The sequence below is a fragment of the Homo sapiens genome, chromosome 2 (genome assembly GCF_000001405.40).
Source record: "Homo sapiens chromosome 2, GRCh38.p14 Primary Assembly".
Lineage (NCBI taxonomy): Eukaryota > Metazoa > Chordata > Mammalia > Primates > Hominidae > Homo > Homo sapiens.
Window position 1 is genome coordinate 112,237,162 of NC_000002.12, and position 21,722 is coordinate 112,258,883.

The 21,722-nt window shown below is 40.1% G+C and overlaps 2 protein-coding genes across 4 annotated transcripts in view, besides 2 other annotated features; one reads left to right on the plus strand and one right to left on the minus strand.

Moving 5' to 3' along the window:
* Positions 1-7,547, plus strand: part of FBLN7 (fibulin 7) — a 106,324-nt gene extending 98,777 nt beyond the window's left edge. Inside the window, exons 9-10 of one of the 2 annotated variants that reach the window (XR_007069507.1) lie at positions 1,960-2,092; positions 5,788-7,547. The gene's annotated coding sequence lies outside the window, so the exon portion shown is untranslated. The remainder of the gene's footprint in view (positions 1-1,959; positions 2,093-5,787) is intronic. The other variant, XR_007069508.1, reaches the window with a different exon arrangement.
* The window catches only part of ZC3H8 (zinc finger CCCH-type containing 8), a 43,514-nt gene extending 25,633 nt beyond the window's left edge, over positions 1-17,881 (minus strand). For both annotated transcript variants that reach the window (XR_001738994.2, NM_032494.3), the window contains exons 1-3: positions 17,747-17,881; positions 13,030-13,111; positions 1,154-1,367 (exon numbers count right to left, since the gene is read on the minus strand). Coding sequence is in view for 1 of the 2 variants with exons in the window: in NM_032494.3 (NP_115883.2) it covers positions 1,154-1,367; positions 13,030-13,111; positions 17,747-17,820 (370 nt within the window). In the remaining variant the exon portion in view is untranslated. The remainder of the gene's footprint in view (positions 1-1,153; positions 1,368-13,029; positions 13,112-17,746) is intronic.
* Positions 17,854-18,063: a silencer, noted in NCBI's record as "silent region_11870". NCBI's record gives its function as "represses an Ori minimal core promoter by ATAC-STARR-seq in GM12878 lymphoblastoid cells {active_cell/tissue: GM12878}" and the evidence as "EXISTENCE:reporter gene assay evidence [ECO:0000049][PMID:35858748]".
* Positions 19,614-19,865: a transcriptional cis regulatory region, noted in NCBI's record as "candidate enhancer chr2.4107 targeted for multiplex CRISPR interference". NCBI's record gives its function as "positively regulates ZC3H8 gene expression in K562 cells {active_cell/tissue: K562}" and the evidence as "EXISTENCE:mutant phenotype evidence [ECO:0000015][PMID:30612741]".

The window sequence follows — 21,722 nt, forward strand, 5'->3', positions numbered from 1 at the left end:
GCTCTGGGACTAAGGGACCAAAAAGAGAATTATGATAATACATCCTGGATTCCCCATTCATTGTTTTTAAAAATATATAAGGTATTGTCAAGAAAAAAGCAAGATAATAAAATCAGTCTTATAAGTTCTAAGGCAGATCCTTTTGAAGTGTTCAGAGTATGATGGATCTAATTAGGAACTGCAACAGTAAAACTTTAAGTGTTTACAATGACCTCATAAATTACTGTCAGATTTTTCACTGAAAACATTTTAAATAGATCAAGTTTTTATTTATTTATCTATCCGTGCACGCATTTATCCATCTATCCTGCAATGGCATAATCATAGTCTACTGGAGCCTCGAACTCCTGGGCTCAAGCAATACAGATCCATTTTAAGTAAAGAAAACAACAAAAAAATGACAGCATTAAAATTTTAATTTTTTTTTTTTTTTGAGACAGAGTCTCGCTCTGTTGTCCAGGTTGGAGTGCACTGTGTGATCTCGGCTCACTGCAACCTCTGCCTCCTAGGCTCAAGTGATTCTCGTGCCTCAGCCTCCAGGGTAGCTGGGATTACAGGCATGTGCCACCATACCCTGATACTTTTTTTTATTTTTAGGTTTCACCATGTTGGCCAGGCTGGTCTCGAACTCCTGACCTCAAGTGATCCACCAGCCTCGGCCTTCCAAAGTGCTGGGATTACAGGCGTGAGCCACCATGCCTGGCCAAAAATTTCATTTATAATTGCCATTTGCCCTCATATTTATGGCTAAATCTCATTTTAGTAATCTAGAAGAATATATTTCTGAGTTACAGTCTGACATACAACCATTCCAGTCAATCCTCTTTAAATGACAGCAATACAAGCAGGCATATCCTATCCTTCACACATGCAGAGGCCAGGGCTTTAGCATTCTCCCTTTAGAAATAGTCAGGGCCTTTGATAACCCACCTCCATCCTCCAGCTCCCTCTACAAACTAAGCATTTAATGCACCAAGTGGCCAGGTCTCAGATGGGGTCTCTGGCCATGCAAGCTCATGTCTGGTATAAATATTCATGAAAACCATAGTCTTATCATAAGATAAAGTGCAAAGAAAAATCCTCTGTCCGTATATGGACAACTGTGACTGCTTCTCTAGATAAACTTTAAATGATAAAATAGTTTGACTCTTACCCTGTGGGGTATCTTTTACTCCTTCTTTCTTTGTAGATTCTTCAGGTTGAGCAGCATTTGCCATTTCTCTGGCTTGTATGTACTGTTGAAGCTCTTTGGCAAAATTATCTTCTGATTCCTGACTGCAGATATCATTATCACTATATACATCATAGTCCTTACTTCTTGATTTTCTATGCAGCGAACTTTTTGGTGATATTGCAGAGTGTCTAAACTAAGTAAAAATTAAAACTTCAATTTTAAAAACCTAGCATGATTCAAAACAATCTGGCTATACAGAAGAAACAAGATTGGCTATAAACTGGTCATTGTTGAAGGTGGGTAATAGGTACATGGGATTCATATACTATTCTCTCCACTCATATATTTGAAAATTTCCAGAATTAAAAAAAAGAAAAAATTTCCAGAATTAAAAACAAACTAACAAACCACTATGACATATCTATCCTTAAAGATGATTTGAGGGAAAATTCTAAATTTGTACATTGTGTGCCTTTGACTGAATTAAAAGTCTAAACCCCTAAATCTTAATTATTTGATATGAGAGGATTACAGTATTACAGTTCACACATTACATTTCTGCCTTTGCATTGACAGTACTTTTAAATGTCTTCAATAATTTATCATTTTGTAAAACACCCCAAGTAAACTGTAATGGTCCATATGAAAACCCACTTACACTTAAGATACATCTAAGCTACCAAAGTCTAGTCTTTCTCCTATAACTCACAGAAGTGGTAGCAGCAATGATGACAAGGAATAAAGAACTACCCTATTCTCTGTAATCAAGTTAACTTTACTTGCAGAAAGAGTTTCCTAACTCTGTTGTTGCACGTGCCCAAGGCAAGGGTGAAGAACCCAGGCATGGGAGCTAATCCTAGAGGAGCCCAGGCTGATGACAGCAATGACTTAAAGCAATTTCTGCATAAAAATTTTCAGGTATTGGTTACATGTGTTTCTACACTTGGTGACACAGGTATATTAAACTGTATCATTATAATTAGTATGTATGACACATTTTAATCAGAAAGTTTATTTTTAAAAAATGACCAAGTATCAAAGGGCTCCTATTCTGATGTCACGAAGAAATGGCATGCCTATCATTACAGTGGATAATGATTTTGTTTCAAAGCATACTTTGGGGCCTGGTCTCTTATTTGCTTTCACATGATAACTAAGAAGCAAACTCAAAACAAACAGACAAAAAACAAAACAGAAGAATCGCTATTATAAAATATATTAGGTGGCCCAATTTAACAGTTTACTTTTTTTTTTTTTTTTTTTTTTTTTGATGGATTCTCACTCTATTGCCCAGGCTGGAGTGCAGTGGCACGATCTTGGCTCACTGCAACCTCTGCCTCCCAGGCTCAAGCGATTCCCTTGCCTCAGCCTCCCGAGTAGCTGGGACTACAGGCATGCACCACCATGCTCAGCTAATTTTTGTATTTTTGATAGAGACAGGGTTTCACCCTATTGGCCAGGCTGGTCCTGAACTGCTGACCTCAAGTGATCCGCCTGCCTCGGCCTCCCAAAGTGCTAGGATTACAGCCATGAGCCACCATGCCCGGCAACAGTTTACTTCTGATGGTTAACTTCAAAGTTAGGAGTTGTTCCACCAGAGGATTGATTATAAGCCTAGAAAATGAACTTGCTCCCTGCTTAAAGAATCCAAACAAGCTGAGGAAGTTTCTTGATCTGACAATGGCCTCAATTATACCTTATCTTCCCTACACCAGACAAGACTATCAACCAATTATCTTCAGGCCACCAAACTTCTTGTCTCTAGGTCTTCAAGAAAGAGTGCCTTTTCCCCATTAACACCATAGAATAAACTTGTAAATGTAACTTCTGGACTGATAGATCAGGGGTTGGCAAATTTTCAGCTTCACCACCTGTTTCTGTAAATACAGTTTTACTGTAACACCAATTACATCCATTCATTTACATATTGTCTTAGTTGTGACAGAGACAACATGGCCTACAAAGGTGAAAAGATTCACTAACTGATCCTTTATGAAAAGGTTGGCCGACTCCTGTGATAGATTATGTTTACCTTGGTTTTGGCCTTTAATTTTATTTAGTAGGCATGGGGGAACCAAAAAGATTATTCAGTATGCAGCAGCTCCTATGAAGTTTAGCTTAATCAAATACATAGAGGTGAGATTTTCTTCAGTGCATCTGAATCAAAATATTAAAATGATCCAAATGAGTGATTAAGTTCCCTCTGTCTGCACAAAACACATAGGCCTACAGTATTGAAGCAGACTCCTTTTACGACAAGTAATAATACGTTGGACTTACATTAAATGAAGACATGAAACAATCTGGCAACATTAATAAAGCCAGGACAATCATCAATTTTGCTGTTTTATTATACAGTAGGGATAAATATTACTAATGATTCTTTTCAGAGGGCATTGAAATATATAAAATACAAATAATTGAATACTTTTCTTCACTTAGCTAGCTATAAACTCATTGCTTCAGTTTGTTGTTTTTTGTATAATTTAAAAAGCATACGAACATGATTACATCCCCTTTCTCCTTTTGTAAGAGTCTAAATAACTTTTTTTATTCAAGATGGTTTACTGAACTAGTATGGCCTCCAGAAACCTCCAAAATTAAAGTACAGGTAACAGTGTGTGTGTGTGTGTGTGTGTGTGTGTGTGTGCGCGTGTGTATGTGTGTTGTGTTTTGTGTGTGTGTGTGTGTGTGTATGGGAGGCATGAAGTGCATTCATCAGGAATTAAGAGTCAAATTTCTGATAGACAAAAAGGAAGTTATGCTCTAAAGGGTGGGCTTAGGTACAGTGTGAGAAATGGGGCTATAAATGAGAATGAATTAAAATTCTACAAAAAACAGACAAAGCTGTTACAACAAATTCTCTCTGCCCTCTCCCTCTCCAGAACACAACCACCCAGGTACTTTCCCTAGGAAAAAAAGAGAAGGCTGTTATCCAAAGAAATGGAATAGAATGTCTGGTAAAAGCTAAGATGTGGGTACTACGACCACCCACATGGAGGTACTAAATCTTCCATGGGCTGGCATTTGGGAGCAACCCCTACTAGAAAAATACTCCATCCTACTCACCATAAAGCAGGGGTTCTCACCCTGCTGTCCAGAGACCCCCCCCTCAAGGGCCTATGGATTGAATTCAGAAAATTCAGTGAACTTGAATTCAGAAAATTCAGTGAACTTGAATGAGAAGAAAACCACATATTATTTTCATCAACCTCCAAATTGACATTTGGTATTTGAACAAAGGAAGTATGTTCAAATATGTTATTCCGTTTTGAACATAGGAAACAAAATATAGCAGTATCAGCAGTGCCTGTGACTGTCACTAACACAAATCACAGATATTTTCATGTATCACATTATAGTTGTTGCAGATCTCAAAATACCTTTTATGTTCATGACCACTGCAAAATTAGAATCAGACTAACTGCTCTGCTAGGTCTTAATATTCAGTGTATTAATAAAGAACATATTACTCTATAGCATTTGTTTTTAATATTTTGATAAACTGTATTTCAATCAAATCAATTTCCTTTGTAATCAAACATTTTATTTTATACACTTAAAAAACTTGAAAAGGGGTCCATAGGCTTCACCAGACTGCTAAAGGGGGTGCATGGCACAAAGTGGACTGAGAATTGTTACACTGCTGGAAAACCTCCTATCCACACAGCCTACTCACTCACCACCCAGTCAGGCTTCCTATTTAGAGAAAAGGCCTTTAGAGACACAGACTTACCAACACATCAGCAGAGGACATCTATTAACTCTCTGGGCCTTTCTTAAATGAATGGACAACAAAGGAATACAAAAGCATGTGACAAAAATCTAGAGCTGGAGTCAGTGAACTACAACCCAAGGGCAAAATCCGCTCTGCCACCTGTGTTTGTAAGCACCCACAAGCTAAGAATGAACTTTACATATTTTTTCATGGTTGAAACAAAAGAAATCAAAAGAATATTTCATGACACTTGAAAACTATATAAAATTTAAATTTCAGAGTCCATAAATACAATTTTATTGGAACATAGGCATACTCATTCATTTATATATTATATGGCCTGCTTCTTTGCTACAACAGCAGAGCTGAGTAGCTGCAAGAGACCTTCATGGCATTCTCATCACTTCGTAGAGATGCTCAGTTATAAATTGACAACATTTTGAGTGCTTCATTGAGTACCTCATGCTATTTAATTTTTTTTCCAGAGCATACTTACCACATCAAAACACAAAAAGCAAACTTCAAATGTCAAGTATTTAAAGGCGCAGTGAATTGTGGATTATTATACTGTCAAGTCAGACGGCAAATCACTGTGGTTATTATGTAACAATACTACAGTAGTGCTAAAAGAAAACAATGTATGTTGACATTACAGTATTAAGCATTCACCACAATATTCCCAACTCACAAGAGAGTAACAGAAAAATTAGAAAATTTTACTCCAGCTCTCTTCTGATTAAAATTATTCTTTTTTAAAATTAGACAATTTAAAATAAATGATCACATCCACAGATCTTTCCAAAAATAAAACAAAAACAAGACTATAATCAAAGTAAGTTTCATTTGTAGCCAAAGAAAGCTTATAATGAGTTAATTAAATCATGATTGATTACAGCAAAGAAATCTGTCCAGAGAAAATAAAGTTCTTAAGACAAGTGGCCTTTTGGCAAGAACAGCTGCTCAAAGATATGAGGAAACTGGAGCTTCATCAGACAATTTAAAACCAGGTAAATACTTTCCAGTGGTTTTCCTTGGCTTTTAATGAGTTCACAGGTGTTACTGACACTGCTTGGTATCACTGTGCTGTTCAAAGTTAAAATAGGAACAAGATCTCCATACCTACATTAATTTGCAGCAGATATATTTTGCACACTCAAACAGTTCCAGAAGTGTTTTTTCAGACTTTAAGTGCTTCAAAATCCATTTAACTATGCAACTGAGGAGCTTCCGCCTAACCTTTGATTGGCAGTGACTCATCTGCAATGTAGTAACATGCTAAAAGACAAATCTAAGAGAAGAATCGAACAAAGTTCCATAAATGTCTTCCAGGCAATGTATATGCTCAATTAAGATCATATTCTGGTGAACTGATATCAGTATTGGGCAATATCCATCTGTAGCGAAAAGACATTTTCAGAGATGAAATAAAGTCTTATTATATATCAGCTTAACAGATGAATCTTTGCAATCAATTTTGATAAGGAACAGTAACTTTGAACCCCAATTAAGCAAATAATTACCTCACAAAGAAGAATCCCATTCTTCTCATTAGAATCGTATTAAAAAACAATTATTATTATGTACTGAAGTCTATCAGTCAAAGGCTGTGTTGTGGAAACTTGTTTTCTCTCCTTCATTATATAAATACGTACATAACATCCTCAATTTTGCTTCTTGCCTTAAAAACCTAAAATATTTATTGTCTTGTCCTTTATAGAAAATGCTTACTGATCCCTGATCTCCAGAACATAACAAAAAAGCAAGAAAATAACTGAAAAACAGATCCAGAAGAAGCAACTATCATTTGAGAAAAAGAACTCGAAAATTTAAAAATACACAAAGATATTAAAAAATATATTCAAAAACAATGTTAGAAAGCTATCAAAACAAGAATAAGATCTTAGTTAAATTGTAATTTATGAAATAATGATAAATAGAAACAGAGGAAATATCTTGGGATATAAAGAAAAAAGATAAAAAATAAGAGATATGTCTCATATAAAAGGATATGAATAAATAATCTCACCACAATAGCACTAAGCAGAATGAATGAAAAAAGATTCACAATCGCATAGAATTAAGAATGCCAAGAATGAAGAGAAGAGCCTTAAAGCTTCCAGAGAAAACAGGATACTTACAAAGATATTAGAATGAAATTGGTAAATTTCACCTTTGTAACACTGGATAGTAGAAGACAATGGAGCAGTAACCTCAAACTTAATTCTATTTCAGCCAAACTATCAACAATGAGGTAAATTCAAGATATTTTCAGAAATGTTAACAAGAACTCAAAAATCTGTCTTCCATGCATCCCTACATATGGGTGTATGCCAACCAATGAGAAACCAACAGCTAGAAAATGATACTTAAAAAAAATTATTCACAATAGTTTCATTAAACACTTAGCAATAAATATAACAAAAGGTATATAAGATGTGAGATATCTACAAAGAAAGTTATAGGCATACCTTATTTGATGTCCTTCATTTTACTGTGTGTCACAAATAACACATTTCTTTTACAGATTGAAGGTCTGTGGCAACCCTGCATCAAACAAGTCTATTGGCACCATTTTTTGAAAAGCATGTGTTCACTCTGTGTCTCTGTGTCACATTTTGGTAATTCTCGCAATACATCTGTTATAGCGATCTGTGATCAGTGGTCTTTGACGTTACTATTGTAATTTTTGAGGGGGTGCCATGAACCATGCCCACATAAGATGGCGAACTTAATCGATAAATGTTGCATGTGTTCTGACTGCTCCACCAACCAGCCATTCTCCTGTCTCTCTCCCTCCCTCTCCCCTCAGGCTTCCCTATTCCCTGAGACACTAAGATACTGAAATTAGACTAATTAATAACCCTACAATGGCTTCTAAGTGTTCAAGGGAAAGGAAGAATCATATGTCTCTACTGAAATCAAAAGCTAGAAATGATTAAGCTTAGTGAGGAAGGCATGTCAAAAGTCAAGACAAGCTGAAAGCTAGGCCTCGTAAGCCAAATAGCCAACTTGTGAATGCAAAGGGAAGGTTCCTGAAGGAAAGTAAAAGTGCTACTCCAGTGAACACACTAATGATATGAACACAAAACAGCCTTATTGCTGATACAGAGAAATTGTATTGGTCTGGATAGAAGATCAAACCAGTCATAACATTCCCTTAAGCCAAAGCCTAATCCAGGGCAAGGCCCTAACTCTCTTCAATTCTATGAAGGTGGAAAAAGGTGAGGAAGCTGCAGAAGGAAAGTCTGAAGTTAGCAGAGGTTGGTTCTTGAGGTTTATGGATAGACGATGTCTCCATCACATAAAAAGTGCATGACAGGCCAGGCGCGGTGGCTCACGCTTATAATCCCAGCACTTTGGGAGGCCGAGGCGGGCAGATCACTTGAGGCCAGGGGTTCAAGACCAGCCTAGCCAACATAGTGAAACCCCGTCTCTACTAAAAATACAAAAATTAACTGGGTGTGATGGTGCACACCCGTAGTCCCAGCTACTCAGGAGGCTGAAGCAGGAGAATCGCTTGAACCCAGGAGGCAGACGATGCAGTGAGCCAAGGTAATGCCAATGCACTCCAGCCTGGGTGACAGAGCAAGACTCCATCTCAAAAAGCAATGTGCATGATGAAGCAACAAGTGCTGATGTAAAAGCTGCAAATTATCCAGAAGATCTAGCTAAGATCATTGATGAAGGTGGCCACACTAAACAACAGATTTTCAATGTAAATGAAACAGCCTTATGTTGGAAAAAGATGCCACTTGGGACTTTCATAACTAGAGAGAAGTCAATACCTCACTTCAAAGAATACCCTGACTTCACCACTACAATCTATGCATGTAACAAAATTGCACTTGCACCCCGTAAATTTATACAAATAAAATACTTTAAAAGGCTTCAAAAAGATAGGCTAACTCTTGTTAGGAGCTAATGCAGCTGGTGACTTTAAGTTGAAACCAATGCTCATTTACCAGTCTGAAAATTCTAGGGCCCTTAAGAATTATGCTAAATATACTCTGCCTGTGCTCTATATATGGAGCAACAGAGCCCAGATGGCAGTATATCTGTTTACAGCATGGTTTACTGACTATTTTAAGCCCACTGTTGAGACCTACTGCTCAGAAAAAATATCCTTTTCAAAATACTACTGCTCATTGACAATGCACCCAGTCACCCAAGAGCTCTGATGGAGATGAATGTTTTCATGTCCACAAACACAACAACCATTCTGCAGCTTATGGATCACGGAATAATTGACTTTCAAGTCTTATTTAAGAAATAAATACAAAATACACTTTTTAAGGTTATAGTAGCCATAGAAAGTGATTTCTCTGATGGATCTGGGCAGAGTAAATTGAAAACCTAGAAAGGATTCACCATTTTAGCTGACATTAAGAACATTCGTGATTCATGGCAGAAGGTCAAATATCAACAATAACAGGAGTTTGAAAGAAGGTGATTGCAACCCTCAGGGATGACTTTGAGGAGTTCAAGACTTCAGTAGACGAAGTAATTGCAGGTGTGGTGGAAAAGCAAGAGAACTAGAATTAGAAGTGGAGAATGAAGACGTGACTGAATTGCTGCAACTTCATGATCAAACTTGAACAGATGAGGAGCTGCTTCTTACAAGTGAACAATGTGGTTTCTTGAGATGCAATCTATTTCTGGTGAAGATGCTATGAACATTGTTGAAATGACAACAGATTTAGAATATTATATAAACCTAGTTGATAAAGCAGTGGCAGGGGTTGAGAGGATTGACTCCAATTTTGAAATTTTTACTGTGGGTAAAATGCTATCAAACAGCATCACATACTACAGAGAAATATTTTGTAAAAGGAGAAGTCAATTGAGGTGACAAACTTTACTGCTGTCCTATTTTAAGAAATTGCCAGAGCCACCTCAGTGTTTAGCAGTCACCACCCTCAGCAGCTATCAACACTGAGGCAAGACCCTCTGCCATCAAAAAGATGACTCGCTGACTGTTAACATTTTTTAGCAACAAAGAATTTTTAATTAAGATATATACTGTTTTCTAAAATATAATGGTATTGGACACCTAACAGAGTACTGTATAGTATAAATGTAACTTTTATATGCACTGGGAAACCAAAACATTCTTGTGCCTAGCTTTACTGCAATATTTGTTTTATTGTGGTGGTATGAAATCAAACCCTCAAAATCTGAGGTAATGCTCTTTCTTAACTTGCAAAGTGTTTACCTGGGTATTCTCTTTTAAATAAGCTATAGCCAGCCATGGTGGCTCACACCTGTAATCCCAGCAGTTTGGGAGGCTGAGGCGGGCCAATCACTTGAGCTCAGGAGTTCGAGACCAGCCTGGCCAACATGGCAAAAACCCATCTCTACTAAAAATACAAAAATTAGCCAGGCAAGGTGGGTGACAGGCACCTGTATTCCCAACTACTCGGGAGGCTGAGGCAGGAGAATTGCTTGAACCTGGGAGGTGGAGGTTGCAGTGAGCCAAGATTTTGCCACTTTACTGCAGCCTGTGCAACAGAGTGAGACTCTGTCTCAAAAATAAATAAGTTAATTAATTAATTAGCTGTGATATTTATTTGATAATGTATTCACCTTTTACATACTTGTGAGTGAAGAGGCTGCACTGAAGCAAGCCTGGTTGAGAATAACCTAGGAGTCCATCTTCTCACAGTACTGTTTTGCAGAAACTATGTAAGACAGTTGTAGAATGTTGTTTCTGCCTGTCTGCTGTGGAAGGTTATAATATATAATACGAAGTCTGGAGGAGCTAAAAGTGGGCATAAAAGACTGAGGCCTATGTGACTCAAGCAGTATAAAAAACTTGTGGGAAGTTGAAGTTGCAATTTCTTGTCGTCAACCTTGGCTCTCATCTTTGGAAGCCACATAGGCCCCAAAGGGGAAAAGAAGTTGCTTACTTGGGTAGCTGAGAGGCTTCCAAGAAGATGAAGATACTGTACCTGCTTTATCATCTGTCCTGTATTCTTTTATAAAACTAAGGAGGCTGGGCATGGTGGCTCACACCTATAATCCTAGCACTTCGGGAGGCCGAGGCTGGCAGATCACTTGAGCTCTGGAGTTTGAGACCAGCCTGGGCAACATGATGAAACCCTGTCTCTGCTAAAAATACAACAATTAGCCAGGTGTGGTGGCGTGTGCCTGTAGTCCCAGCTACTCGGGAGGCTGAGGTGGGAAAACTGCTCGAACCCAGGAGAAGGAGGTTGCAGTGAGCCAAGATCATGCTACCACACTCCAGCCTGGGCAACAGAGACAGAAAGAAAAGAAAGAAAGAAAGAAAAGAAAGAAAAAGAAAAAGAAAAGGAAAAAAAGAAAGAAAGAAAAAGAAAAAGCAAGCAAGCAAGAAAGCTAAGTAAAAGATACACTATTAAAGTCTATTTCTGTCTTATAAGTCTCAGTGACAATTTAACCCATTCTTCTATAGTGTGTTAAAACTCATTTTTTTTTTGAGATGGAATTTTGCTCTTGTTGCCCAGGCTGGAGTGCAATGGCATGATATCGGCTCACCGCAACCTCTGCCTCCCGGGTTTAAGCGATTCTCCTGCCTCAGCTCCCTGAGTAGCTGGGATTACAGGTGCCTGCCACCATGCTTGGCTAATTTTGTATTTTTAGTAGAGATGGCGTTTCTCCATGTTCAAAAACAGAAAAGAAGGGCAAGATAGGAATATACATTACCTTTGTTATGGGTTGAACTGCACCCTCCCAAAATTCTTATAATGAACTACTAACCCCTAATACCTCAGAATGTGACCTTTTTTGGAAATAGGGTCATTGCAAGTGTAATTAATTAAGATTAGGTCATTAGGGTGGGCCCTAGTCCAGTGACTGATTTCCTTATAAAAAAGGAAAATTCAGCCGGGCACAGTCGCTCAGGCCTGTAATCCCAGCACTTTGGGAGGCCGAGGCGGTCAGATCGCTTGACCCCAGGAGTTCGAGACCAGCCTGGGCAACATGGCGAAACCCCATGTATATTTTTTCTCTACAAAAAACACAAAAATTAGCTGGGCGTGGTGGTGCACACCTGTAATCCCAGCTACTTGGGAGGCTGAGAATTGCTTGAGTCCAGAAGGAGGTTGCAGTGAGCAGAGATTGTGCCACTGCACTCCAACCTGGGTGACAGAGCAAGACTCTGTCTCAAAAAAAGGAAATTCAGACAATTCAGACACAGGCATACAGGGAGAACACCATGTGAATATGAAGGCAGAAATCAGGATGATACTTTTGCAAGCCATCACCAAAGATTGCCAGCATTCCATCAGGAGCTAGGGGAGATGAATGAATAGATTCTTCCCCACAGCCTCAGAAGGAACCAACCCTGCCAACACCTTGTGCTGGGACCTCCAGCCTCCAGAACCTTGAGACAATAAAGTTCTGGGGTTTTTTTTGTTTTTGTTTTTGTTTTGATTCGGAGTCTCGCTTTGTTGCCCAGGCTGGAGTGCAGTGGCGGGATTTTGGCTTACTGCAACCTCCACCTCCTGGGTTCAAGTGATTCTTCTGCCTCAGCCTCCCTAGTAGCTGGGACTACAGGTGCATGCCACCATGCCTGGCTAAATTTTTTTGTATTTTTAGTAGAGATGGGTTTCACCATATTGGCCAGGCTGGTCTCAAACTCCTGACCTCATGATCCATCCACCTCGGCCTCCCAAAGTGCTGGGACTACAGGCGTGAGCCACCGCGCCCAGCCAAGTTCTGTTGTTTAAGCCACCCAGTCTGTGGTACTTTGTTATGGCAGCCCTAATGAACTAATACGGGCTTTAAGCTATAAATCACTAAGGTTGGTTAAGTTAACAAATCATAACCCTCAAAAATGTTAACCCAACTTGAAAGAAGCTTTTGAAACTGTTTACAGTCCATTTCAGAAATAACAAAAATAGAAATAAATGCAATTATTAAACATATGTCATGTTAAATGACAATAAAGTTATTAAATAATAATTTATTTAAAAAGTATAACCAGTTTTCTTTGATATAAGTAACTGGGTCCCAAATGCTGGTAAAATGAGACAAGTAGGATCCTTCATTAATTTCTCATATCCATTTCCATCTGTTTTTTCTTTTTTTGTTGTTCCATGTGAAACTGAGAAAAAAAAATCTGCGTTTTCAACTTAAACAGTGGTCAACTTAATCTTACTTTTTTGGGAATTTGCTCGCACTCCAGTTTAATTTTCTCTTCTTGTGTTTCTTCAACTTCTGTATCTATTTCATCATCGATTCTGTAGCAAAAATATCAAATAACACAAAAGAGTTTTTTCAACCTGAAGTGTTCATACCACAGCGTTACAATTCACTGCTTTGGCTTGTCTTCAACTTACCCTCAAAGAAATTACAAATTCAAATTCTATACCAAATACTCCAGAAAATGTACAAAATTATGATGACCAATAAATGTCCATATATATTTATGAATAGCCTGTAAAATTTTAGATTATAAAGCCTTAATGTTCAAGTATTAGCAGCTATATAAATCATTCATTCATCCATCATTCCATTAATTCAACAACTACTAAGTACCCACCATGTACGAGGCTCCGGGCCTTAGGCCCTGGACTACAACAATGAAAAATACAGACCCTGTCACTGTGTTCTGAGAGCTTTCTATCTCCTTGGGAGAAAAAAATAAAGCTATTTCAATATGGTATGGTAAGTATAGGGGCATATATGGGGAACACAACCCAGACTTGGGGATCAGAGGCATTCAGAGCCTAAATGATACTTATGAGTTAGCCAAAAAAGAGGAAAGAGGAATGTGAGAGAGAAGGGTATTTTAGGCAGAATGCAGAGTGCCTTTTGAGATTAGGAGCGAGACAAACACATTTAAGTGTAAAGATGAAAAAGAAAAACTGTTTTCAGACTTACAGGACTGAGAAGTTGACCATGCATATATATAACAGTCTGAGACAATTACTTGAGGCTATTCCAGCAAAACTAAATATGAACCCAAGAGGGATGGGAAATATAAGAACATGGTGAACAAAGAAGACAATAAAATGTATAGATGTATCTGAATAATGGTTGATACTAGAAATATAGGGAGCTGAAGAAAATATTATCTTAGTAAGTGGTGACTATTGAACACAAGATTGGGAAAAGCTGTGAATTAAAATATGAGTTACACACCAGATAAAGGCAAGGAATTGGGGAATGTGTCCCATCTCAAGAGAACATGTTACAAAGGGAAAGCACTGACAGCACAAGGAGAATGTGAACAGTGGCTCCGTGGCTGTTCTTTCAAAGTTACAGGAGCTCAGGCTTCACAGCTTTGTCCAATTCAACAGTTTACACTGACTCAGAGCTCCAGAGTTACATCCATCAGATGAGGTACTAAGTTGTGAGCCTGCTACAGAAGCCACCATTACAAGAACCAAAAACCCCAATACTTGTGAATCTTTATAGCTATAGTTTCCAGTAATGAATCATCTCATGGAGTAGGAGGCAACCTCTCCTTAGGCAGAGGAATAATGACAATAATGACCTCAATAGCAGTAACAGCATCAGCCAACACTTGAATGATGCTTACTCTGTGCCAGATGCTGCTCCATACACGTAACACTTACCACAAACAACAGTGTTATGACATACATACTAAAAGCCCATTTTACGGATGAGAAAACAATCACAGAAAGGATATGTAACTTGTCACAGAGCTAATACATGGTGGAGCTGAGATCTGAGCCCCAGCAGGCAGGCAAAGCTCCCAAGTATGTGCCCTACAATCACACTGTTATTCAACACTGCCCATTCTAAATAGATGTCTACTTTCACTGTGAAGGTCTACAATACTCAGCACCCATATTAGACCTATGAGCAGGATAGGACAGAGGTGACCACCTCTTCTCTGTAAAACATGTTCTTTACTTAGCTTCAGAGATAGTGGGCTCTTCTAGTTTCTTCTTTCCACAGCTACTACTTCTCAGTCTCCTTTGTTGGTTCCTTATCTTCACAACTTTCAAAGTCAGTTCTCACCTCTTCTCTTCTTTGTCTATATTCTCATCTATATTCTCATTCCAGGCTATCCCTTTCTATATCATCACTATGAATATCATCTGTATGTAGTTGATTTCAATATCCAAGTCTCTAACCCAAACCCCTCTTCTTAAATCCAAACAGAGCTAACTTCCTAGTCAACATAACCACCTGAACATCTACTAGACATATGTAATCTTAAAACATCCAACACTGAACTCTTGCTCTTCTCTCTGAAGCCTAATCCTTCTTGCTATCTAAAACGGCAACACCATCCCTCTCAAGATCCCTACCAAAACCTTAAAGTCAATCTTGATTCCTCTCTCACATCCCCATCCAATCTCTGAGGAAATCCAGTTTATTCTATCTTCAACATACCCACGTTTGACCACTTCTTGCCACTAATACAACAATCCAAGCTGCTCTGGCACCCCTACATTCTACTCTCAACACAACTAGAATGACCCTGCTAAAATATTTCAAATGTCACTCTGCTGAAAAACCCTCCAATGGTCTCTTGTCTCATTCAGAGTAAAAGCCAAAGTCCTTATTTCGGCACCTACCAGTTCCTCCATGATTGGGCTCCCCTAACCCTACCCCAGTACCTCGCAGACTTCCAAGTCCCTCTTACTCCACCCCAGCTGTCCTGGCCACTTTGCTCCCCTAACCCAATCACACCAAGCTCACTCCGTCTGAGGACCTTTATACAGACTCCTCTCCACCCCTCTGGACTATGAAACCCCCTCACCTCCTTCAGGTCCCTACACAGATTTTTAAAACTTACCAATGTTATCAGTGAGGCTTTCCTTATCTACCTTCTTAAAATATCTACACCTCCCAGCCGGGCGCGGTGGCTCACGCCTGTAATCCCAGCACTTTGGGAGGCCAAGGCGGGCAGATCACAAGGTCAGGAGATCGAGACCATCCTGTCTAACATGGTGAAACCCCGTCTCTACTAAAAATACGTCGGGCGTGGTGGCAGGCGCCTGTAGTCCCAGCTACTCGGGAGGCTGAGGCAGGAGAATGGTGTGAACCCGGAAGGCAGAGCTTGCAGTGAGCCGAGATCGCGCCACTGCACCCCAGCCTGGGCGACAGAGCCAGACTCTGCTCAAAAAAATAAAAAAAAAACCCACAAAACTACTCCCTCCCTACCATCCCACCAGTGCTTATTTTCCCCTTACCCTTCATTCATTTTCTCAGGGCATTTAGTACCACCTAAAATATGATATATTTATGTATGTCTCCCCCTTCCCCTAATAATGTAAATTCATTAGTACAGAAATTTTCATCTCTTCTTCATTTACTACTATATCCCCAAGGCCGTAGCAGGTGCTCAATACGATTTTTTGAATGAATGAGAAGTATTCCCATCACAAATTACTCGGAAAAAAAACCAGAAACCATATGAGAAAAGACTGATTCATCTGACTGCATAAAACCAAACCACAACATCCCCATTCCTTTTTACATTGAAAAATAATGCCATAGGCAAAGACAAATGACAATTGGGAGTAAAGTATTCGCAGATAAGAGATCCTAGAATGTGAAAAAGACCAAAAAGGAGAAAAATGGGCAAATAATATGGACAGCTCACCATACTTCCATACCATCCTTCACCCATCATTTTGGCAAAATTCCAAGTGTCTTTTATGTATTGCAGTCAAGTTTTGGGGAATGGAGCTTGTGTCCAACACACTTTGAAACTGATAGCTGCTGTTCGGATTTTTAAATGTTGCTATTATCTTTTTTTTGTGTGATGAATTCTTATGTATTTTATAACATATCAATTAGTACCAGTTATTTTTCTTAGTAAATTATATCATCTGCAAGTAATTAGTGTATCTGTCTCTTTCCAATATTTATAGGGCTTATTTTAAAATTTTAGTCATTTTGCATGAGAAGCTTGGTGATAAAATCATGGATCCTGGACATAGCTCTTCCACTTACACTGTGCAATCTCGGCAGGTTATTTAGCCTCTCCGTGCCTCAGTTTTCCCATCTGTAAAACGAGGACGGCATCATCTTCTCTTTAAGTTTGTTTTGAGGATTAAGTGATTTATTTCATGTAAAGCACAAGGTAAAGCTCTGGATGATCAGTTAAGGTAAAATTTGAGATAGAGTGAACAGCTGACCAATATCGAATGGTAAAATCAATCACAACTGGAAATATATCTCAGTTGAGGGAAATAAAAGACGTAGGTTTAAGAACAAAGATGGTGGTTTTTAGCATTTCAAATCACTAGACACTGCTCCAAAAATATAATCTACAAATTAGGGCCATCTGACCAAGAGTCTCACTTGCTTTTCCAACCTAATGGAAATATTAAGTCCAAATGACGTCTGTTGCTTTATTGTGGTCTTTAGGGTCTTTCCATGCAAATCAGTGGACTAATGGCAGAGTATTGCCTATTCTTTACCTTTCAATAAACTTGTGGTTTCATCCTTTCTACAGAAAAGAACCTAGGAGGTGTCAGTGAAAAAGGTCACATCAGTGTCCTCTGGGAGTTTACGGTCTCGTGGAAACAGGCAACAACGGTAAAGACAGACGCTACGGGACCACAGAGGCGGGCTCCTCACCCGCTGCTGTGCAGAGAAAGGGGCGCATCCCGGAGCCTTCTCGCCTCCACCCCGCTCCCCCGCCCAGGCTCTCGACAGCCCCGGCCCTGACGGCCTAAGCCTGAGCCCCGCGTTCAGCTTCTGCTCCCACCCGGACCCCGCACGACCTCTATAGGTCAGACGGTGGCGCCCGGCCGGCCCACGTGCTCCCCACGGGCCCTCGCGACGCGGCCCGGACGTGGCCCCGGACTGCCTCCAATCCAGAAGAAACTAAGAGGCGGAGTCCCGCTGAGCCCCTGCATTCAAAAGATGAAAAGATATGGGATCACCTTTCGTCAGAGTCCGTGGCCGTTTTGCCGAGGGCCGGGTTGGGGGGTTTTGAGAAAAGATTCTCAAAATCCATGACCCAGACAGGTCCTCCCTTTCGCGAGCCGGGAAGCTACAGAGTAACAACCCGAGAGAGTGACAACCCGGACGCGACGAGACGGACCCAGAGCCGCGCCAGGGCCACAGGCTCCGCCCCGCGCAGCCTCACCTGCCCCGCGCATGCGCTGCACCGCCCTCCGCGACTCTGGGCAGGCCGGGTCTCTCCCTGCCTCCTTCGCCTCGGCTCTGCGCAGGCGCCGCCGTGGTTGCCCTTCTGTAAGCTTTTTCGTCCTTTACCTCAGATAGTAGAATTTTGTTTATTTTATTTATTTATTTGTTTGTTTGTTTGTTTATTTAAAGACAGAGTCAAGCTCTGTCGTCCAGGCTGGACTGCAGTGGCGTGATCTCGGCTCACTGCAACCTCCGCCTCCCGGGTTCAAGCAAGTCTCCTGCTTCAGCCTCCTGAGTAGCTGGGACTACAGGTGTCTGCCACCACGCCCAGCTAATTTTTGTATTTTTAGTAGAGACGGGATTTCACCATGTTGGCCAGGATGGTCTCGATCTCTTGATCTCGTGATCCGCCCGCCCCAGCCTTCCAAAGTGCTGGGATTACAGGCGTGAGCCACCGCGCCCGGCCCCAGCCCAGAATTTTTAAAATTAGTTGTTAGGATTCTGCTTTCACCTTGGTGAAAACTCTTCCATCAAAATCACAGTATTTCTAAGGGATGGTAGTAACAGCTAACATTTATCTGAGCACTCCACTACTATTCCTTAGAAATAGCGTTTCACATGTTAGCTAACTTAATCCTCACAACAGCCCTGTAAAAGATGTTCTATTACCATTCACAGTTTTGAAATGAATAAACAGATGTGTAGTCAGGTAATGTAACTTGTAGGGTCTCTACAATTGAATGGGAATTAAAATGAATACACAAGTAACCTCAAGACAGAAAAGTCCGTTAAAAAGTACCAAATACTAAGAGAATTCAGAAGAGGGAAAAAATTGCATCCAGTTGGGAAGGCTTCTTGAGAAGGGAGTATTTGAGCTGGGTCTTGAGATATTTCCATAGGAAAAGAGGAAGTGGGCATTCCAAGTAGAGAGAATTGTATGAAGGCAGGAAAATAGAGCATGCTGTTGCAGAACAGGAAATTGCTCAGTTTTGCTCAATGTAATGCCATTTAAGGGACCTGTAGAAAGGAAGGCTCAAACCCTAGGTTGGGCCAGTGATAGAGAACCTGACTTGCTTCTGTAAGTGAAGGGAGTGTTTGATTCTTGGCATGAATCAGGATCCCTTTACCGATTAGTGAAGGGAACTATTTGAAGCCAGACATCTTCCCCAGGGAAATTCTACTTTCCCATGTTGTTTATATTGTAGGCCATCACCTATGGAACATGAATCATTACTAAAAATTCAGAGAAAAAATTGAATTAAGGAGATAAAAACTAGAATTACCCCCTCTTTAGCAGGAAGCATTATTATAGAACCCAAATTGTTACCATACACACTTTTTTATATAAAATATCCAACATACAGCAAAAGATAACCAGACACAAATGAAAATTAGATTGGTAGGTAAAAAGCAGCTAAAACATCTGACCTGCAAAGGCATCAGACACTAGCATTTTCAGACAAAGACTATATAAAAGGCTACATATGTTTGTGTTAGATTGATGCCAAAAAAGGCCCCAATTTCTCCAACCTTTCCTGTATCCATGTCCTTTGCAATGTGACTTTGCAGCTCCTCCCATAAAGAGGTAGGATCTATTTCACCTCCTCTTTAATCTGAGTTGATTTTGCCTGATAGAATGACTTGTCTTAGCTAGTAGAATGCAGAAGTGGCCTGCCAATACCAAGCCAAGGCCCCAAGAGGCTTTGTATGTGTCTGCTGTCTCTTATATGCCTGCCTTCTTCAGGACAATAAACTCAGGCTACCCTGCTGACGATAAGGGAGAGGCATGTAGAAGATAAGGCTAATGGAGGACAGCGAAAACACCCAGTCAACAGCTAGCAAAACCCTAAAAGCAAAGCCTCCTAGGCAACATACAGCTGAGCACACACATGATGGAGTCCTGCAGAGAACCAAAGACTCTCAGATGATCCCAGTCCAAATTACTAACCCACATAAATAAATGGTCCTTGTTTTAAGCCACTAAGTTTTTAAGTAGTTTACTACATAGTAATATCTAACTAATAAAAAAGAAACTATAAAAAGTGTCATAGAGAAATTGGGGAGAAGTAACCAAGTAGAACTTCTAGAAATAAAAAATATAATACTGAAATTTTTAAAAATCAGTGGATGGGGCTGGGCGTGGTGGCTCACACCTGTAATCCCAGCACTTTGGGAGGCCAAGGCCGGTGGATCACAAGGTCAAGAGATAGAGACCATCCTGCCAAAATGGTGAAACCCTGTCTCTAATAAAAATACAAAAATTAGCTGGGCGGGTTGGCGCACGCCTGTAGTCCCAGCTACTCAGGAGTCTGAGGCAGGAGAATCGCTTGAACCCGGGAGGCGGAGGTTGCAGTGAGCTGAAATTGCGCCACTGCACTCCAGCCTGGGAGACAGAGTGAGACTCCATCTCAAAAAAAAAAAAAAAAAATCAGTGGATGGTGTGGTCATATTAAAATGTGTTCAAAAATTCCTTAACACTTCTCCCTGCAAAAGTTGGAGATTTAGTCCCCTCTTCTTTAATGTGGATAGGATTTACTTATTTATTTCTAACAAATACAATGTGGCAAAAGTGATGATGCATGATTTCTGAGGTCATAAGAAGACATTGTAGTTTCTGCCTTATTCTCTTGAATCATCTGCATGAAGGGAAGTCAGTCACCATGTCATGAATCACTCAGGCAGCCTGTGGAGAGCCAGCCATGTGGGTGAGGTACCTTGGAAACAGATCTCCCAGCACTAAGCAAGCCAGAAGACATCTCGACAGCAATCCCGTGAGAAACTGTGGGACAGAACCACCCAGCTAAGCAGCTCGCAGATTCGTGACCCACAGAGGATATAAGAAGATCAATGTTGGGCCAGGTGTGGTGGCTCACGCCTGTAATCCCAGCACTTTGGGAGTCTGAGGCAGGTGGATCACCTCAAGTCAGGAGGTTGAGACCAGCCTGGCCAACATGGTGAAACCCCGTCTCTACTAAAAATACAAAATTAGCTGGGTGTGGTGGCGCATGCCTGTAGTCCCAGTTACTTGGGAGGCTGAGGCACGAGAATCGCTTGAACCCAGGAGGCGGAGTTTGCAGTAAGCCGAGATCGCGCCATTGCACTCCAGCCTGGGCAAGAAGAGCAAAACTTCATCTCAAAAAATAATAATAATAATAAAGAAGATCAATGTTTGTTTTTTTAACCACAAAGTTTTAGGCCAATTTGCTGTCCTCTATAGCAATAGAAAAGTGAAATTCCCTATTATTATAAAGCAGATGGCCTAAACATAAAATTATCATATGACCCAGCAATTCCACTCCTAGGTATATACCCAAAGGAATTGAAAACAGGGACTGAAACATATATTTGTACATTCATGTTAATTGCAGCATTATTCACAATAGCCAAAAGGTAGAAACAAACCGAGTGTCCATCCACTGATTAATGGATAAAATGTGATATACACATAGGATATTATTTATCCATAAAAAGGAATGATGCTCTGATACATGCTGTCAGAACTGAATTTTGTATACTAGCTGAACTTTGAAAACTGTATGCTAAGTTAAATAAGCCAGGCACAAAAGGACAAATATTGTATGATTCCACTTACGTGAAATATCTACAATAGGGAATTGTATAGAGACAGACAGTAGATTAGAGGTTACCAGGGACTGAGAGAGGGTGAAACGGAATTGTTGCTTAAAAGTGACAGAATTTCTGCTTGAGGTGATGGGAAAGTTTGGAAATACATAATGGTGATGGTTGCACAACAATGTGAATGTAACT